The 20,816-nt window shown below is 37.3% G+C and overlaps 1 protein-coding gene across 4 annotated transcripts in view; it reads left to right on the top strand.

Annotated features, from left to right (window-relative positions):
* The window catches only part of SGCD (sarcoglycan delta), a 1,039,957-nt gene that overhangs the window by 385,281 nt on the left and 633,860 nt on the right, over positions 1-20,816 (top strand). For all 4 annotated transcript variants that reach the window (XM_047417519.1, XM_047417518.1, XM_017009724.2 and 1 more), the window contains one exon: positions 10,744-10,907. The gene's annotated coding sequence lies outside the window, so the exon portion shown is untranslated. The remainder of the gene's footprint in view (positions 1-10,743; positions 10,908-20,816) is intronic.

Below are 20,816 nucleotides of genomic sequence, written 5' to 3' on the forward strand. Positions count from 1 at the left end.
TGAGCCCATGCCCCAGAGTAAGAGAAGAGATTCTACTTTTCTTTCTCTGTCCCAGGCCTTCACACTTTTTATAGGGGAGGACTTTGCCTGAATGAGATTCTATTGTTTAAAAATACTTATTTTTCAAACAATATAGTCCCTAAGAAAAGTCTTCATTTCACTTGTTTTTGACCTAAGAACTCTCTGCTGCAAAACTGGAGGGAAGATTTTTTTCCTTTGCATTTATTTATTTATTTATCTGGCACACATTGAATGAGAACATACTATGTTCCAGTACTGTTTCAGGGACTGGGAATACAGCAAGCACTACAAAATTCCTGACCTCAGAGATCTTACAGTTGAGTGGCTTTTGAGGTACAGAATATCAGCCTCAGCATGCTGCCTACCTAAGATATTTTAGGATTAATATCGTTTGTGTGTGATTTTCACTTAGGTGATCATTTTTAAAATTGAGCCCCTCTTTACAGCTGCTGTAGAAGACAGTTTGGCAGTTTCTTACAAAGCTAAACCTACTTTTACCATATGATACAGCTATCATATTCTTGGTATTTACACAAATGAGTGAAAAACTTATGTCCACATAGAAAACCTGCACATGGATGTTTGCAGCAGCCTTATTCATAATTACCCAAAACTGGAAGGAGCCAGCATGTCCTTCTTTTGATGAATGGATGAATAAGTTGTGGTACATCTGTACAATGGAATATTATTCTGTGCTAAGAAGAAATTTTTATCAAGCCATAAAAGTACATGGAGGAACCTTAAAAGTGTATTACTATGTGAAGAAAGCCAATCTGTAAAGTCTGTATGCTATGCGATTCCAACAACATGGCTTTCTGGAAAAGAAAAAAACTTTGGAGATGGTAGTTGCTAGGGGCTTGTGGGGAGGGAGGGATAAATAGATGGAGCCAGGGAATTTTTAGGGCAGAGAAACTACTCTGTATGATACTATAATGCTGGATGCATATCATAATACATTTGTCAAAACCCATAGAAGGCACAACACCAAGAATGAACCCTAATGTAAATTATGGGTTTTGAGGGATAATTGTGTGTCAGTGTAATGGTTCATCAATTGTAAGAAATGTAGCACGCCAGTTGGTGGGTTATGCTGTGCATTTGAAGGGATGGGTGGAGCACAAGGGATATATATGCAAGCTTTCTGAAGTTCAATTCGATTTTGCTGCGAACCTAAAACTGCTATAATAAGTAATCTATATATAAAGACGTAGCCCCCTCCTCTCCATCACAGGTACCCTCACGCAAGCCACAACTCTTTATATATCCACGTATTTGTCATATCCCTTCTCTGATAATAGATCTATACAGTTTTGTGGTTTTACTGGGATCATAAAAGCATTTTATAAAATGCCACATTGTGCAACATGATCATGAAAGATGAGAAATAGGTGTTGGAGGCCTGGGTTTTTGTCATCCATCTGACCCAAGTTATTTATTGGGTCAGAAAGGCTTTGCATAAGCCTTTCTCCTCTCATCTATGAAATAATAGGATTCAGTTGGCTAGTCCCTAAGGCCCCAACCAGTTGTTTTTTGAAATATTTTTAACTGAATGATTAAGACTTTTTCCTAATCATCAAGCAGTATGAAAGTAAAATTCCTTCAGTAAATTACAAGCCATATTTTCATTCCTTTAAAAATCAAAATGTTTAAAGATATATTGATTAATGTTCTTACAGGCCTTGCCATAGGACAGATTCCTGGAATCTCTTACACATATTTTTTGCGTTGCGTGACACACTTATCTTTTAGATGCTATTTTGGAGAAAAGGTGTTCAATATAACCTAACAGACAGGGATAGCAGGTAATAGTCCAGATATTTTATTTTCAACTTTTATAATATTGTATTATAAAATATTACATTTTTTAAGTTGAGGAAAATTATATGGTGAATACAGTGTGCTAATCACCCAGCTTTAGCAAATCTTAAGATTTTGCAAAATTTGCTTCCTAGTTGTTTAAACAATAAAATATTTTCGATGTTTAAAATCTCATATGGAAATAAATTGTTTTTATATTAACTTTTTAATTTCTGTTTGTAAGTGCATCAAATAATTATTAAGAAAAATTGGAAAATTTAAAAGGTCAAATGATGCATAATCTTACCACCCTGAGAGGAGGACTATTAGGATCATTTTGGTAAACTTTCTTTGTCATGCAGATGCTATATGCCTATATCTGGCAAATAGTTATCTTTTTATAATTTTATTATGGGAAATTTAAAACATATTAAAGTAAGGGGATAGGGTAGTGAAATCCTATCTACCCATAAGCAAACCTCAAAGGTTTCTAGTTCATGGACAGTCTTGTATTATTACCCAACCCCTATTGGAGCAAATTCCCACCCATAGTAACACTTCTTTAAGTAGTTCAGTGTTCATCCCTACAAGATGATATCCTCTTTATAAATATAAGAATGATATTATATCAAAGACATTAATACATCTTCAATATCAAGCATCTAATTACTTTTCAAATTATCGATTATATTTTTTTCTTAGGTATTGTTTGTAAATCAAGATCCAAGTGAGTTTCATCCATTAAAATAGACTTTCTTGTCTCCTAAGTCTCTATTAATCCATAGTTTTCCCATCACTGTTATTTTTCTTGTAATTTATACATGGAAGACAATGGGGTTATTTGTCCTACAGACAGTCTCACAGTCTGGATGTTGCCAATTTCATCCCTCTGATATTATTTACAGCATATTTCTCAGTCACCTGGATTTCCTATAAGTGAGATTTAAGGATAACAACTTGATGTAATTTAGGTTGCATGTTTTTGATCACACGTAGCTTCACCTATAAAGCTACATACTTCCATCAGGAGGCAATGATGTCTTCTTACTCTTGAAATGTTAGCAGTCATTGATAATTATTGCCTAGATCTACTATTTTATTAGGGGCTACAAAACTTTGATCTTAAAATTTTATTATTTTGTCCTCATTTTTGGTGAAAAACTTCTACAAATGGAAACTTTTATCAGTATTTGATTATAGACCACAAAGAAAGGCAGCTTGTTTTTCTATTATTTACCATTTTCAAAATAATGATCTGGTTCTCCAAAGATGATCAATAAGAGGTTTTCTGTCTCCTTTTTTTCTTAGTATTATTATGATCTCATAGATTTAAATATATCTGCAGTGTTTTGATCATTTGCAGTTATTATTCTTGGTGATGCTCTAATTTTTCTATCCTTAATTTGCATTTCTCTTATTATATATGTGGCCAAGCTCACAGACTATGCACTTATTTTTCTTTAAATTTCCTATTGACATCCCCATGCCTATTTTTCTAGACACTTACTAGAGTTTTTCTCTTCTATCTCCAGAAAATGTTTATATGTTAGGAATATTAACTCTTTGCTCTTATGAGATGAAAAGAGTACTCACAAAATACCATAAGCAATGTACGGAGATAAAGAACAAACTTGGAAAACATGTTTACAGTTTTTATCACAGGCAAAGATGAGTTCAGGTCTCAGCAGGAAAAAGTGTAACACAGTGATTGGAAGCCCAGACCCTGGACTCAAGACTCTCCTGCATTCTAATCCATGCTCTATAATGTTACACAAGTTACTTTAACACTCCGAGCCTTCCCATTCCCCATCTACAAAGTGGGAATCCTAACAATATTGTCTCATTAGTTTATTGGAAAGATTTCATGAGAAAATACAAGCTGAACAGTGCTGGCACATACAAGCTCAATAAATAATAGTTTCTGAGACTCTTCTTTTTGAGTGCCAATAATGATGATAGTCAATTGTGCTTTGTTAATGGCTTGGGGGTTGGGCAGTAATTCTACTCCTCTGAGCCTCAGACTCTTTGGGTTTACTCAACACATCAGTGTGGCAGGTCATTCTCTACAGGTCTGCCTTTCCTGCTTGCCACCATAGAGTTAACAAGGAAATTGTGTAGCTTTGTTCAAACATCAGTCAGTGGAGGGTATCATACATAAATGATTGATTCATTTTCCTATACAGATAATATGCCTATACAATGGCTCTGTAGTACATACTTGCTCTGTGCCTCTAAGAAATGGACATGAAACAGAGTCCATACTCTGAATAATTTGGTCTAGTAGGGAAGACGCAAACACATTGTTGCCCATATTACTATTTTTTTCATCCTCCTAAAACCCTTGTAAAATACAACCAAGGTGTTATGCCCATTTTATAGGTAAGAGAATTCAGACCCAGCATGGCACCATTGTATTAATTCAAGTCCCCTTGAGGAGGTTTTACTTAAATCTAATACCCATTGAACTTCAACCCAGCTCTCAAGGGTTTGTATGTCCTGACTAGATGAAATATCTTATATTTGTGTTTTTTCCTGTTTTCCTCCTTTCTGTAACTGGTCAGCTGACATTATTTTGGAAGGATTTTACTAAAGCAAAAATTAAATCCCAAAAATCATTTGACAATGAATATTGGCAGCAAACAACTGCATACTTAGGTCCTTTCTAGATGCTATTCTAAGTGCTTTAAAATTGATTATCACAAAGAACTCTTTGAGATAGATATCACCATGGTGTCTGTGATGCAGAAGAAGCACTGAGAGGTTAAATAACATGCCCAAGGACACAACTTGGGGGTGGCTGAGCCAGGAATCAAACCTAGGCAGGGATCTAATGCTTTTAGCCAGTATTATCTTTGCATTCTATGATATCAAAACAAAATAATATCCTTGTTGATAGTCTCCTAGAATGACAGGTTTTTGCTGAGCATCCTTTTTTGTGTGTTCACAGTGGTGTAATATTGTGGATCTGACTTCATGTGTCACTAAGAACAGGAGATCCAAGACTGCTCTTCTGGGGATGAGGTGATGCTGATCTATTTTCGCTGATATCAGTTATGCTGATCGTTTTAAAAAATTGTGTTGGGTATCTAGAGATATATGGAAAGCTAGCAAAAATAGCCCCTGGTAATTTAATCACCCATCTGTCTAAGTATGTGGTCCAATTCTTCCTTCACACTAGCAAGTAAGGAGAGTGTAGTGAAGTCAGCCATTGCCTGGTTTCGAGACAGCACAGAGGGCCCACTGTCTAGATTTGAGGCTGTGTGGGATAGCATGCTGCCCTGAGAATTTTGTTGGTATGTACATGGTGTGTTGGTGCACTGGCATGCATGGAAGCTTATGGGGTGTGGTGTCTGAATGTGTGAATCCTAGAAAGAGTGGATGTATTTAGGGAAATCATACATACTCTTACTGTTTTGGCTAGGAATGGGGACCACTTCCCTGGTAACAAAGAGCAATTTCTTAAGGCAAAGGGGGGACCTGTATTTCTAGACAGCTAAATTAGAAAATGTCAGACTTGAAGAGGTGCTGGGTGGATGCACACAGAGAAGAGTCAGGGCGGGCATCTATTCTGTGTACATTCAATTCTAAAAGCACATCTACTTTTACTACTTGCACACCAGCAAAGCCCAACCCATGTTTAAAAGTTTATGAGAGACACATATTTCATTAACTAGCCAAGAAGGCTATAAATCAGCAATTAGCCCAGGTGCCGGGAAATTTCCTAAAGCCTCATTTTAACATTCAGTGACATTTTTTCCAAAGTTCCTTTGATTTCACCATTCAATTTAAAAGGCTAACCAGGAAGGAAAATAATGCTAATGCACTGGCAAGAGATTAGATATCTAAAAGTCACTGGATGTTTTCTATAATCTTCAAAATCCAGCAGTACAGATTTTATTTTGCTATTCATCAGCGGTTTGTTTGTTGTCTAGACTAGAAATAAACAGAAGGGAAGGTCTTTAATACTTAGCCAGCCAAAACTGGTGATTCTAGTTACAGTTGGACACCTAGATGCCCAGAGTATTTTATGTTTTATAGCCCCTACTTTGAGTATTATCACCTGCTAGAAAATATAATCAATATTTTGCAACTGAGGCTGACCACCTGTGGTGACTTGGTGCTGGGTATACAATCCATGTAGCTCATTCCAGTATGTAGTGGGACCAACTCTAGGCCTTCTGAGGAAATGTACCTTCTTCTATTTGTGTGCCTTTACTATTCTCAGCAGAGACTGAGCTGGGCCAGTTTTCAGTTAGACTATTAGGAGACTGAGATATTCCTTTGGATTTTAAGTTGTGTCATTTCTGAGTGTCAGAACTAGGTTTAATCAGAAATAAAACCTAGGAAAGAAGCAATGGTGATTTTCAGCATGTTTGCTGAATGTCAATATGCTCCAGGGTCAGTTCTGAGTTTGAATCCCGACTTGTCACTTCCTAGTTATGTGATTTCAATCAGATTACTTAATGTCTCCAAACTCAATTTCCTTCTATGCAAATAGAGTAATACACATATTGGGAAGCATTGTTGGCAACAGGAATGCTGTGTGTAGGTGTGTATACCTATATGGTATCTCCACGATCACACTTCTTAAGAGGTAAATCTTTACAGCAATGCTTCTTTAATTCCCAGTAGGACCCAAATCTGTTGGCATAGTTTTAAATTTAAATTCGTCATTAGATACATTTGGATCCATAGTTCATCCTTTCCCCCAGCACACTTCTGCTCAAAAATCTTAAGACCCACTTAGAGTTGCTAATACCTTCTGCTGCTCCCACTCTCCCTGGTTTTGCCTTCTCGGGATGCCCACCTCTCTTGGGAGTCTGTCTTGGTGCCAGGGTATCTGTGAAACCCGTGTCTGTGTGTGCTTTATGCTCACAGGAATCATTTTTAACACAACCTAACCATTAGAGAGGTGTGGTTCACACTCTGCCATCAGAGCAACCACTAATTGATACCTTTTGAAAAATGACAGATTCCCTGAAGCGTTCAAGGCCGCCTGACAGGCAGAGATGCCACCTACCTCTATGATTAGCACTCTCCCATGCAGACACTGGTGATTTAAGACATATGTTGTTCTTTCTTGACATTATTTTCTTTCACATTATTCCTAGTATATACTTTCTCATTTTATTTTACCATATAATAGCATTAATCCCTTTATTATTTCCAAGGATTTCGAAAAAGCTAATTTCTGAAGCTGTGCCCTCTGGACCTAGTGTCCTTTACTGTGCCATGTGGCATCTTGTTAATGGGTAGTGGAATTTGGTGAATACTTTTTTGTTTCTTTGTTGAAGGAGGGAAATAAAGCAGAAAGAGGTGTGTAGGGGTGGGAGGTGAGGAGCAAAGTAAGGAAATGAGTGTTGTTCCCAAGAAAACCAAGAATTATAGAATTGTCTCTCTCTATCAAGCAGAAATTGAGATATTTATGTCAGCACACGCTATATCACTACTTGAGATAATCAACAAATTTGTAGGAATTTGTCATGTCTACTCATATCTGGGCAACGTTAGGAAATTACAAAAGATAAAGAAAAACTGCTAGAACAAAGGCTTAATGAAGGTAGGAATAAAGTCACTATTATCCTCTACCATATCCCCAGTCTTTAACAAAGTGCATGGCAAAGATTATATATTTCATAAACATTTGCTTTGTAAATGTGCTTTGGATCATGTCCTTGGATGACTTAGAATGGATTGTAAGTACCTTTTCTCTGAAGCATTGTAACTATTTATTAGGTTGGGATGTAACTAAACCTGAAAGGTAGGTGACATATTTTTATGTCATTACTACCTGAACATAGACAGTTTCTTAATATCAGTTAAGAAAAGAAGAAAGAAAGATGCATTTGGATAGACTTGAGACTAGAATTATCAAAGCAGTCAGCACAATTTCTTTAATAACTCCATCTATCATTGTGCTGAATTACAGCATTGTTTGCTTCCAATGTTGTGTCTCTTGGCTTCAGAATGCAGGAATAATTGTAGACTGTGCCTTGACATTCCAGAACCGAGGCCAAGATCATCCTCAAATTGCCGGGTACGAGAAAGCAGACAATAAATGAATCAGAAAACATGACTTTCTCATGTTACAATGTTCCGCCATCTGCCCAGGAATGTGGGGGCAGCTGGGGTAGCTGCATACAACTGATCCTGGAGATGGTCCAGACAAAGTTGCCCAAAGTCATTAAGGGCTACAAAAGCAATGTCATATGATAAAAGATGGAAAGATTCAGAATCCAGTGGGAACTAAGATGAAGGTAGATACATTTATGAAATGTCATGCAGAATATAAGCCTGCAGCAGTAAAAACTTTAAAAATAAAGAACAGTAAAAGTTTATTGAGCACTAACATTATGTACAGTAATGAATGATTTACCTATGACTTCATTTCTTTTGCATAAACATCCTAGAGGGATAGGTATTTTCATCATCTCTCTTTTATAGAAAAGAAATATGATACTTAGAGAAGTTGATTATCTTGGCCAGGGTTCCACAGTGGTGGAACCGGAACCTGAACCGCAGTAGTAAACCCCAAAGCCTAGTTCTTAAACATTGCACCATATTTCCTAACCACTTTTAGACTACTGAGGATAAGGGAGCCTTTTATCAGTTAAAAAAAGAAAATGATCATTTTTGGGAGCTGAAGATCTTCAAAGGTATTTATGTTACCGCAATGAGGGGTAACAAAATAAAAATGAGGGGTACCCCAGGGAAAGGAAGGGACAACCCTAAAGGCAAATGACAAATTGGTGACCAAATTAGATTTAGATCTAAAGTCCTTTGATGACTGCCCAATACCTTTTCCCTAAATGCATCTCTTCCCTTTTTTGTTGTCTAACCCTGGATTCCTTTACTTCATACTTTTTATAGTAAAGCAGGGGCTGAGAGTTGAGGGAATGACAAGAAATAATGGCATGGAAGCAAAGGCAGAAAATCTGAAAACAGCATGATGAAAGTAACAATGAGATTTCAGTATTAGCCTGTAAGCAGAGTCATCCCAATACATGCCACACATACTCTTTAGAGTATCTCCTAGAAATAGTTTTGGGGCTTTTGTTTGCTAGCTTCCCAAATACAACTAACATTCATCTTTTGCATCACACTCCAGACTATACAAATCCTTTTCCTAAGCCCAACACTAGAAGACATTCATCTAGTCAGTATTCCATAGTTGTCAAAAATACTGGAGATGGAATGCTTTTGGTTCAAACCAGGCTCAGCCACTTATCATCTGAGTGGCCATGAGGTTTACTTAACCTTACTGTCTGCTTATTCATTCATTCAAAAAATATTTATCGAGCTCCACTTCTGTGCAAGGCTATCAGTGAAGTGAAGTGCTGGAGACACAGCAGAATACCCGAGATAGAATTTCTTGCATGCATGGAGTTTACATTTTATTGGGGGATGACAGATAATAAACAGGTAGACATGTAATACATCAAAAAGACTTTTAAATCTAGAGAAAGAGGGATGAGATATGTGGTATGAGTTTACAATTTTAAACAGGGTAATTTTACAAGGGTCCTCACTGGAAAGGTAACATTTGAGCAAAGACGTGAAACAGTGAGGAGAAAAGTTTCCCAGGTAGAGGGAATGATGAGTTCAAAGGCTCCTAATAGAATCAGAGGTGTGTTAGAGGAGCAGCATGGCTAGAGAGGAATAAATGAGGGGGAAAAGAGTGGAAGATGAGGACGGTGGTAAGAGAGATGCATCAAATATCAAGCAGGATCTTTATGGCCATTGCAACAACTTTAACTTTGAGTCTGAGTGAGGTGGAAGGTTTTGAGCAGGGGAGTGTCATTCTCTTACATGGGTCTGGTGGAGAGTACCAGCCCTAGTCTGAGAGAGCCTGCTGTGCAACCTTGTAGATCTTTAATGATGTCTTGCACCAGCATGGTAGTAAAAGATGTGGTAAAAAAAAAAAAAAAAAAAAAAAAAAAAAAAAAAAAAAAAAGGTCAGCTGCTGGATTTATTCTGAAGATAGTGCCACCAGAATGTGCTGATGAAATGGACAATGTGAGGTATATAGGCAAGACAGGAATCAAGGTTTACTTGGAGGGTTTAGGCCTGACCAACTGGGTGAATAAAATTGCCATTGACTGAGAAGGCATAAACTTAGAAGAAGGAGGGCTTTAGTATTTTCCAGGTGGAAGCTGGTGGTGCTGATGACTAAGTCATGACCTCAGTTGGGTCATCTTATATCTGACATGCCCAAGTAGAGTTGTTGAAGAGTCAGTTGATTGAGTTTAGAGTTCGGGGAAATATCTGGGCCTGGAGACAAATCTCAGAGTTGTCAGAGTATAAATGGTATCTCAAGCTGTGGACCTGGAAGATGTACCTGGTGAGAAAGTGTGTATAGAGAAGAGGCTCAGGACTGAGCCCTAAGATCTCCTTATGTTGGAAATTGGGAGGTTGAAAAGATGCAATAGAGGTAGCCAAGATGGAGTGGCCAGTGGTCGCAGTAAGATTGGTACCTTAGAAGTCAAGAGAGGGAGGTATTTCAAGGTGGAGTGATGCACGGTCTCCTTGTCTTGCTTTGATGATAGACCAGTGTTAAACACATTGTTTTTGTATACTAAAGATTTGCTTGACACACGGATTGAACTGTGCCACAGACAATGAATTATCATGGAAAATCGCTTTTGCTCTCCCATCCTCAGTTTCCCTGTAAGTTAAATGAGCAAATTTGATTTGTTAAGTCCTAAAATACCTTCCAGCCTTGATATACTATGAAATTTTTTTTTGGTATGATTCTTTAATTCAGTCAAGACTGAATCCATTCAGGGATTCTGCAATTTTATGACAAACAGAATCTAAAGTATCTTTTGTTTAGTCTCTCCAAACCAAATGGCCTTTAATTTAATATCACTCTGTCTTGTTTTTGTTTTTCTTTATGGACATTGTCTTTCTCTGTTGATTTTGTAGACTTGGAAGAAACCTCCATCCTCAGGGATTTGAAGAAGGTTATACTGGAACCTGTGTGAAGGCTGAGACAACCGTCCCTTTTGTGGTGGCCTGAGGGGATTTTCTTAATCCCAATGTTGCCCTGAAATTTATGTCCAGGATTCAAAAAGTTTAGGACTGCTAAGGTATGAGTTTGTGACTTTATTATTTTCTAAGACAAATGTGAACATTTAAAGATATTTATCCATATTTGCAGCCTTTCTCCTCCCCCTTTCCCTGACCTTCTTCTCTTTACTTTGTCTCTTAAAGGAAAGATCTTTTCTATCTTGAAAAGATACCATCACTTATGGGATGTGTTACCACAGGTAAAGATACAATGGTAGAAACTGAAGGAAGCCTGCATTGTCTATATAATAAAGAGGTGGTCAGAGGGCAAAGACAAAGCATGCAGAGATGTTTGTGCAGGTGTCTCAGCTAGAAAGAAAAGAGAAATGGGGGTAGATACTTATGTAATAAAAGACTTCAGGTAACAAGATGAGTAAAGAAGTGGTGCTGTGTAATACACTGTTTATTCATATTTACAGTGTCCACAGGAGACTTTGACAAAATTTTGTTATTCCTTAAGGTCTTTAGGGGAGTTGTCTTTGTATTTATTTTATATCCATGCTGGAGCAGACTCTAAGTTGAAGTCAAAAGGTCTCGATTATTTTTTCTAGTTCAAATGATAATTATCACAGTAACGATAGACACTAATCAACAAAGTATGCATTTGCGTGCATATAAATACATCCTTATACACATACAAAAACATGTACATATAAATATATATAATTTATTGAATGGTATCTCTGTGCGTGTGTATGTGTGCGCACATGTGTATATGCATATATATGTACGTATATATAGATAGAGTGTTGGGGAGGGAGGGACAGATGGAGGGAGGGGAGAGAGAGAATGCTTAGAACCACCATTTGTGGAGTCTGTATTGTGAGTCAGGCATTGTGCTATGAGCTTTGAAAAAAATACTATAAGCACAACTCATAACAACCATCTGGAATAGGGATTTCTGTTCTGGGAAACCAAAGGGGAGACAAGTAAAAAGATTTTCTAAGACTGTGTAGCAAGAAAGGGTCAGGGGCCAGGCTCATTCCCACACTTAGTAGAATTTAAGTCTCTGTGCTCACTGTAGAGAGTAGTAGGATTGCATTCACTGCTGGTTAAAAGCACTGGGGAAAAGATGATTTTATAGCTTACAACCACATGGCATGTTCAAGAGAAGTTGTAGGATGTCTGAAAATTCCATTGGTAACTCATTTGATGCCCTTTTAATCTCCTTCAAAAAAGAAAGAAAAATAATCCTTCATAACCCAAAGGTTTCTGGGAACTGGGAGAACAATGTAGGTGAGGTGTGGCATTGGCTCTCTTCTTCTGGCACCGTAAGTCATATGTCATGCACGTGCCAGATAGAAGGGTGGAGCTGTTGAATATCACATTAGTTACAGTCACAGGCCTGCTGTCATTTTATTTCTGAATTTCTCACTGCTAGAGTAAGTGTGGTGTATGCTCTTAGCTAGTCATGAATGGGCCTTCCTTTGAGGATGAAGCACTTTCTATCTAGTATTCCCAAATGCCAGTGAATAAATGATTGAGCTGTGATGTTCACATTGCTTGTAGAACCGCTAGAAAGCTGCTGAGATGGGCGGACATGTAAGAGGGAGCATTTCAAATACACATTCCTCCTTCTCTAGTCAGAATAACTTTGTCTTTTTTTTACAAAGTAGATTAATTATTTTTCTCTTTTTGACATCTTTAAGGAAGTTTCAGTATAAATACTTAGTAGGAATTCATTTTTCATTAACATGGTTTCAAGGACCAAATAGGTAATTAACCATTCATAAAAGAAAAATACAACACAGTGTACCTTTATTGAGTCCTTGTACAAGTATAAACATTCTACAAAATTGATGTATAGTTGTGGTACAGTTACTTCTTCCCACTCATTCTTTTATTATTATTATTATTATTATTATTATTATTATTATTATTATTATTATTATTTTGGAGATGGAGTCTCACTTTGTTGCCCAGGCTGGAGTACAATGGCACAGTCTCGGCTCACTGCAACCTCCACCTCCCAGGTACAAGTGATTCTTCTGCCTCAGCCTCCTAAGTAGCTGGGATTGCAGGCGCCTGCCACCACGCCTGGCTAATATGTTTGTATTTTTTAGGAGAAATGGGGTTTTGCCATATTGTCCACGCTGGTCTCGAACTCCTGAACTCAAGTGATCCTACCGCCTCAGCCTCCCAAAGTACTGGGATTACAGGCATGAGCCACCATGCCCGGCCTTTCCACATGTTCTTGATCTATTGGAAAGGAAAACTAAAAAGTTATCTGCTTGTCCTCAAATACGTAGAGAAGCTTAGGGGTTTGGGTTGGGATTTTGATTACTGAGGTTTTTTGGCTTTGAGAGTATCGAACTTTAATTCAGAATGTCTGTTCTGTCAAGAATATTCACTTAGATGCCAGCTACTTACAACATAAATTTAGAAAAGTTTTAAAGGACTTGGCTATAAAAATTTTTCTGGTTTAGAGACCAGTCGACCATTAAGGGGAAAATAAAGCTCCCTCTGATTGTTGACGGAGGATGCAGGGCAAAGAATGCCTGTTTTGCTGTGCATGTTCATCACAGGGCTCTGTTCAGCTGTAGTATATATAAAGATGTGCCTGTGTCTGTTCACAGACCAAAACCCAGTTTCCAGGGAAGAAGAAGGAAATGAGGCAGTGTTGGTACTATCAATCTGCCTAATGCTTCCTGGCTCCTGTGCTCTGGTGCATGGAACAGATTTTTCAGATGTCTTTTCAAGTGCAGACACTATTAATTAGTGGCTATGGAACTAGTCTTTAGAAAAGGCAAATCAAAGTTCCAATAAAGCTCCTGTATGAACATTAGAAAGGCCGTCTAATTCTTCTCAGCCTATGCTGTTTAAAGTATGTTTTCTAAGTCAGCAGCATCAGCATCATCTGAGCTTGTTAGGCATGCAAATTCTTCATTTCCCAGGCTTACTATTTGACTTTACTAAGTCAAACTTCTTGGAGAAAGGTCCAGAAATCTGTTTTTGTTTAATAAGCCATCTAGATAATTCATGTGCTTTGCTAAAATTTAAAAACCACTGCTTAACCTGATCTCTGAAAAATAAGGGAGCTTATAAAAATTTGGTGTCTAAAAACTAGGAGAATCTAAGAATATTAATGACCCATATGCCTTAGTGTGTGTGTATGTGTATATTTGTATGTGTATATAGTGAATACATACACAAATACATATGCATATGACATCAAAAGGGAAAAAAGTTTTTCAAAAAATCATAAGCAAAGTTAATTACTGCATTTGAAATCTACAAAATGGAAAAAATAGATATAAAATTAATTTAAATCTAAACTTAAAATAGCTGTCATTATATATAAATGAGTCCACAAAATAGAGTAATCCAGACATCGAGGCTCATGCCTGTAATCTTAGTGATTTGAGAGGCCAAGAGGAGAAGATTGCACGAGGTCAGGAGTTCAAGACCAGCCTGGGCAACATAGCAAGACCTGTTTCTAAAATAAAATAGAAAATAAAAGAAAAGAAATTAGCCAGGCATCGTAGCATGTACCTATAGTCCTAGATACTCAGGAGGCTAAGGTGAAGAGATTGCTTGCGTCCAAGAATTTGAGGTTACAGTGAGATATGACTGTGCCACTGCACTGCAGACTGGGTGACATAGTGAGACTCTGTCCCTATAAAAATAAAAATAAATAATAAAACAATAGAGAGTTCTGAAATAGGAACACATATATATAGTCAACTGACTTTTAACAAGAGCACCACATTACTTCAAAAGAAATAGGAAAAATTGCTTGAACAAATAATACAAAACAGCCGGATATTTATGTAAAAAAATAAAGAAGCTTAATTTCTACCTTATACCATACACAAAAATCAGTTTGAGTCAGAGAACAGACTGAAACATAAATGCAAAAAAAAAAAAAAAAAAAAAAAAAACCCACCAGAGATCTCCTGGAACAAAAGCTAGAATACCTTTGTAACTTCAGGAGGAAAAGATTTCTTAGAAAGGACACAAATGCACAAACCATAAGAAGAAATAAATACTTTAAACTTCATGAAAATTAAAAGCATCTACTCATCAAAAAATACCACCAAGAAAATAAAGAGATGGACCACAGACTAGGAGAAAATAGTTGTAATACCTATATTTAACATACATATGAACATTCACTTCATAAAACTAGATAAAATAGCCAACAAAGACAAGCAGTGGTGCTTAATTTGCATTGCACCACAATGAGATACTTCTACACGCTTATCAGAATGGCTAAAAATAAAACGAATGAGAGCACCAAAAGTTAAAAGGATGTGAAGTAACCACAGTTCTCATACATTACTGGTAGAATTGTGTAATGTTCCAATCACTTTGAAAACCAATTTGGCAGTTTCTTATAAAGTTGTCCAAGTATCTGCTTTAAGACCTGGAAATTCCACTCCTAGGTATTTATCAGACAGGATTGAAAACATTTGTGCACACATTTTCTTTATAACTTTAATTATAATAACTCAATCCTGAAAACAACTCAGATGTCTAACAAAAAAAAATGGATAAACTCTTACATATTCATAAAGTAGATGATATGGTTTGGCTCTGGGTCCCCATCCAAATCTCGTCTCTAATTGTAATTCCCACGTGTCAAGGTAGGGACCTGGAGGAAGGTGATTGGATCATGGAGGTGGTTTCCCCCATGCTTTTCTGGTAGTGAGTGAGTTCTCACGAGCTCTGATGGTTTAAGAGTGTTTGGCAGTTCCCCTCTCCCTCTCTCTCTCTTCTGCCAGCATGTAAGACATGCTTTGTTTCCCCTTTGCCTTCTGCCATGATTGTAAGTTTCCAGAACTGTGAGTCAATTAAACCTCTTTTCTTTATAAATTACCCAGTCTCAGGTAGTTCTTTATAGCAATGTGAAAATTGACTAATATAGTAGAATACTATTCAACAATAAAAAGACTGTCACACATAATAACATGGACAAATCTCAAAAATAGTATGGTGTAGGTGAAAGAAGTCTAACACCAAAAATAACTTGTATAATTTTATGTATATGAAATTAGAGAATAGTCAGAACTAATCTATGATGACAGAAATCGGCTCAGTGCTTGCTTCTGGTGAGGTGATGCCTGGGAAATGTTCATGAGGGAAATTTCTAGGGTGATGGAAATGTTCTGTGTCTTGATATGCATTATCAAAGCTGATTAAATGATACACATATTAAGCATTTCACTGCATGTAAATTATATTTCAATTTTAAAATGCATTAAAATTTTGTTAGGAACTGCCATTAATTACATACTTTGTTCAAAGTGCTTTTCTTTAAATGCATAAACTCATTTGATCCTTGAAACAACTCTCTGGGATAGGTATCATTATTCCTAATGTACAGATGTAGAAACTGATACTGAGAAAAGTTAAGCAATTTGCTCCAAATCATACGGCTTGGTCACAGAAGCTGAATTCAAGTGTCAGTCCATCTGACTCCAAGGCCTGGCTTAATCATCATGTTACTACTCATTTGGCATAAGTGCCTATGACCCCATCTTTTTCTTTTGAACTTTTATTTTAGGTTCAAGGGTACATGCGAAGCTTTGTTATGTAGGTAAACTAGCGTCACAGGGGTTTGCTGTACAGATTAGTTCATCACCCAGGTATTAAGCCTAGTACCCTATAGTTATTTTTTTCTGCTCCTCTCCCTCCCTCAACTCTCCACCCTCAAGTACACACCAGTGTCTGTTGTTCCCTTCTTTGTGTTCATGAGTTCTCATAATTTAGCTTCCACTTATAAGTGAGAACGTGAGGTATTTGGTTTTCTGTTCCTGTGTTGGTTTGCTTAGGATGATAGTCTCCAGCTTCATCCATGTTCCCACATTAAACATGATGTTGTTCTTTTTTATGGCTGCATAGGATTCCATGGTGTATATATACAACATTTTCTTTATCCAATCTGCCATTGATGGGCATTTAGGTTGATTCATTGTCTTTGCTATTCTGAATAGTGCTGCAATGAACATTCATGCACATGTGTCTTTATGGTAGAATTATTTATATTCCTCTAGGTATATATCCAGTAATGGGATTGCTGGGTCAAATGGTAATTCTGCTTTTAGCTGTTTGAAGAATCACCATACTGCTTTTCACAGTGGTTGAACTAATTTATACTCCCACCAACAGTGTATAAGTGTTCCCTTTTCCCTGCAACCTCACCAGCATCTGTAATTTTTTGACTTTTTAGTAATAGCCATTCTGACTGGTGTGAGATGGTATCTTGTAATGGTTTTGATTTGCATTTCTCTAATGATCATTGATATTGAGCTTTTTTTCATATGCTTTTTGGCCACATGTATTTCTTCTTTTGAAAAGTATTTATGTCCTTTGCCTACTTTTTAATGGGGTTGCTTGTTTTCTTCTTGTAAATTTAACTTCCTTGTAGATGCTGGACATTAGACCTTTGTCATATGCATAGTTTGCAGATATTTTCGTCCATTCTGTAGGTTGTTTACTCTGTTGAAAGTTACTTTTTATTTTTTTGCAGTATAGATGCTCTTAAGTTTAATTAGATTCCACTTGTCAATTTTTGCTTTTGTTATGATTGCTTTTAGTGTCTTTGTCATGAAATCTTTGCCCATTCCTATGTCCAGAATGGTATTGCCTAAGTTGTATGACTCCATCTTTATTCCAGGCCAGTTGTGAGGAAATAGTCTCTTGAAGAGGCTACCAGAAAAGCCCATTAGGGACAGTGGTTGTTAAATAAATGCATTCTGTATTTCTCGTTTTTCTTTTCTTTCTTTCTTTTTTTTTTCTTTTGAGATGGAGTTTCGCTCTTGTCACTCAGGCTGGAGTACATTGGTGCAATCTTGACTCACCACAACCTCTGCCTCCCAGGTTCAAGTGATTCTCCTGCCTCATCCTCCAGAGTAGCTGGGATAACAGGAGCCCACCACCATGCCTGGCTAATTTTTTTGTATATTTAGTAGAGACGGGGTTTCACCACGTTGGCCAGGCTGGTCTCAAACTCCTGACCTTATGTGATCCACTGGCCTCGGCCTCCCAAAGTGCCGTGATTACAGGCATGAGCCACCACGCCCGGCCAGCATTCTGTATTTTTCTAATAATTATGGTGACATTAAAGTTAATAGCAAATATTACTTCTGCCCTCAAGGATCATTGCTTTAAAGTGCTCTAATACAAGTCTGTTTTCTCAGGGTGAACCTTCTAGATCATGGACCATAATATAAATTCTAGAGCCAGAAACTGTGTAATATGCAGTTTAGAAAACCCCATATGACTTGCAGAGGCAATGTCATTTAATAAAGAGCTCTGGTGTGAGACTGCCTTGGCTCAAGTCCAGATGGTTTTACTTTCTGGGTGTATGACCAATGACAAGTCACTGAACTGCTCCAGACCTCAGTTTCTTCATTCATAGGATGGGGATGATTCTCATACCTACCTGATAACAAAGTAAGGATTAAATAAAATTATGCTGCTAAAAAACTAATATGTGATGGTTACTTACGAGCCCTCTATAAATGCTAGGCTGCTGTTTTGGGTTTTAGAGATTATATGAACAATGACATTCCTAAGCCAGAGAATAATCTAATTTCCTGTTGTATGTGGCAGCTCAGGGTCCCTATGTGTGTCTATGTATTCACTTAATTTTGGCTGAAAGCAAAATGCTGTTGTTTTCTAAAAACTATATCAGTGTTTTATTATAAGAATTTGCAACCTTGGAATGAAGTGGACCCTGTTGCTCAACAGAAAAAAAAGGCATTTAATTACTACATAGGAAATTGTGTTGAGGAAAAATTGTCATTAAATATAATTGTTATGCTTTATCTGTCCAGAATGATTGAAAGTGGCCTGAAACTATTTAGCATGTTTAACAGATATCAGCAAGGTTAATTGTTTGGGAACATCGAAGAGCTGAATTCCTCCGTGCACCTCCACAATTTGTATTACTGTCGTATTATTTTCTTCATGACTTCAGCATCAGTCTTTATTTTATCTGTAGCTTTTGAAGTCTTGATTTCCACAGTACAATTTAAAAGCCAGAAAAATTGCAAATATGTGCAAGCTAACAGTGCTTTTCCTATAAGGAAAAATTAATTAGTCTATTACCAAGTTGCTATATAAGTAGAAAATCTCTATGCACCTCCAAGTAATGTTGTCAAAAGGAAATTAGAGACTGCTTTTGTGGGTAGGTTTTGTTATTGTTTCTCATAGTCATCACTGAGGGTGGGGAGATGGGTGACTTGGAAGAATAATTTTTCAGGTACTGTCAGGTGTACCTGGAGGGGTGTGTTTGTGTGTGTGTGTGTGTTTGTGTGTGATGTGTCTGTAGATAAGTATTTTCTTCTCTGGGATCTTTCTTATCAGTGAATCTTATGCTGGTTTTGTAGAAGTCCTAATATTCATGTGGATCACTTTTGTACTTGTCTGTTTTCTTTGGATGTGGAAATGATGGTTTTTATATTTTTGTGCCTCACAGCACAGCAGCGGAACTGTGGCTAACTTACCAAGTCTTTTTTTTTTTTTTTTTTTTTTTTTTTTGAGACGGAGTCTCACTCTTTCGCCCAAGCTGGACTGCAGTGGCGCTATCCCGGCTCACTGCAAGCTCCGCCTCTTGGGTTCATGCCATTCTTCTGCCTCAGCCTCCCGAGTAGCTGGGATTACAGGCGCCCACCACCACGCCCGGCTAATTTTTTGTATTTTTAGTAGAGACGGGGTTTCACCGTGTTAGCCAGGATGGTCTCGATCTCCTGACCTCGTGATCCGCCCGCCTCGGCCTCCCAAAGTGCGGGGATTACAGGCGTGAGCCACCGCGCCCGGCCCTTACCAAGTCTTATGATGGTCCTTCTCTTACAACTTTCTTTAGCCCTCACTGAATTTCTCTGAAAATTCATCATGCATTGAAATTTTGTCTCAGATAATAAATATCTTAGTGTCAAACATGGAGAGGATCAGCAGAAGGGAATCATGATTTCTTGTGAAAAGAGAAGAATCTGGCTGGATAATTTTGAACGTCACTTTCTACAGCTGGTTTTATTGCTTTATTCTGCCAGTATACACTGAGTCCCTGTTGAGTCAGGAGTTATACTGAGCTTGGCCACTTCATATCGATGTGACACTTACCTTCTCTTTTGGATCTCAATTTCCTCGAATGTAAAATGAGTGTTTGTATCAGATAAGCCTAGAGCTCAGCAAATATTGCAGTTTCATTCAATTTCAAGTGAATTAGTAATTAATGTTGCTACAGGAGCATTCTTTGAGCATGTGTGACAAACTGTAAGTGTTGACTCTAACATGGAATGTGAAGGTCAAAGCAGATTGAGCTAAAGAAATTTTATATAAATTCTATAAAATACTTTTTGCTGAATTTTAGCATTTACTCTCTTCAATGAGACCTTGAAATGCCATTCAGAATGTCTTATCTGAAATATAATCTCATTTTTTCACTTATATATTCCAGAGATATTCTATTCTTTTCTTCCTACTTCCAATAATAGTTCTTACAAAGTTATTCTCATTTTATGGATGAGGAAACTAAGAAAGAGAGGTCAAGTAGCTTTCTTGAAACCACCCTGTTGGATTAAAATTCTCTCATCTGATCTTTGCATTGGGCCCTTAAAATGCATGTAATGGGCCCAGTTCTAGTCCCAAGGTTTTTTGGTCCTGCCAAACTAAAGGATACTTCCTTTAATGTTCTTCGATTCTGCTTCTGATTCTGGTAGCAGCAGAATGTGGTTTTTGCCTTTATTTTTTTTTGTTTCTAATTCAAATAGTTACTGTTTTAGGAATAGTCTCTTTTTGACAGTTACTGAAAAAAAGATCTGTGTTTTTCCCCTTGAGCATTATGTTTTGCAGTCTGTTTGTTTACTTGGGTTGAATTTTACCCAAGGTCTTTGAAACTTAACAAAATCTCAGTTGCTGCTGCGTTCAAAATCTTGTACAGATTTAGGTCTTATTTGCCGGGTTAAAACACACACACACAC

The sequence above is a fragment of the Homo sapiens genome, chromosome 5 (genome assembly GCF_000001405.40).
Source record: "Homo sapiens chromosome 5, GRCh38.p14 Primary Assembly".
NCBI lineage: Eukaryota > Metazoa > Chordata > Mammalia > Primates > Hominidae > Homo > Homo sapiens.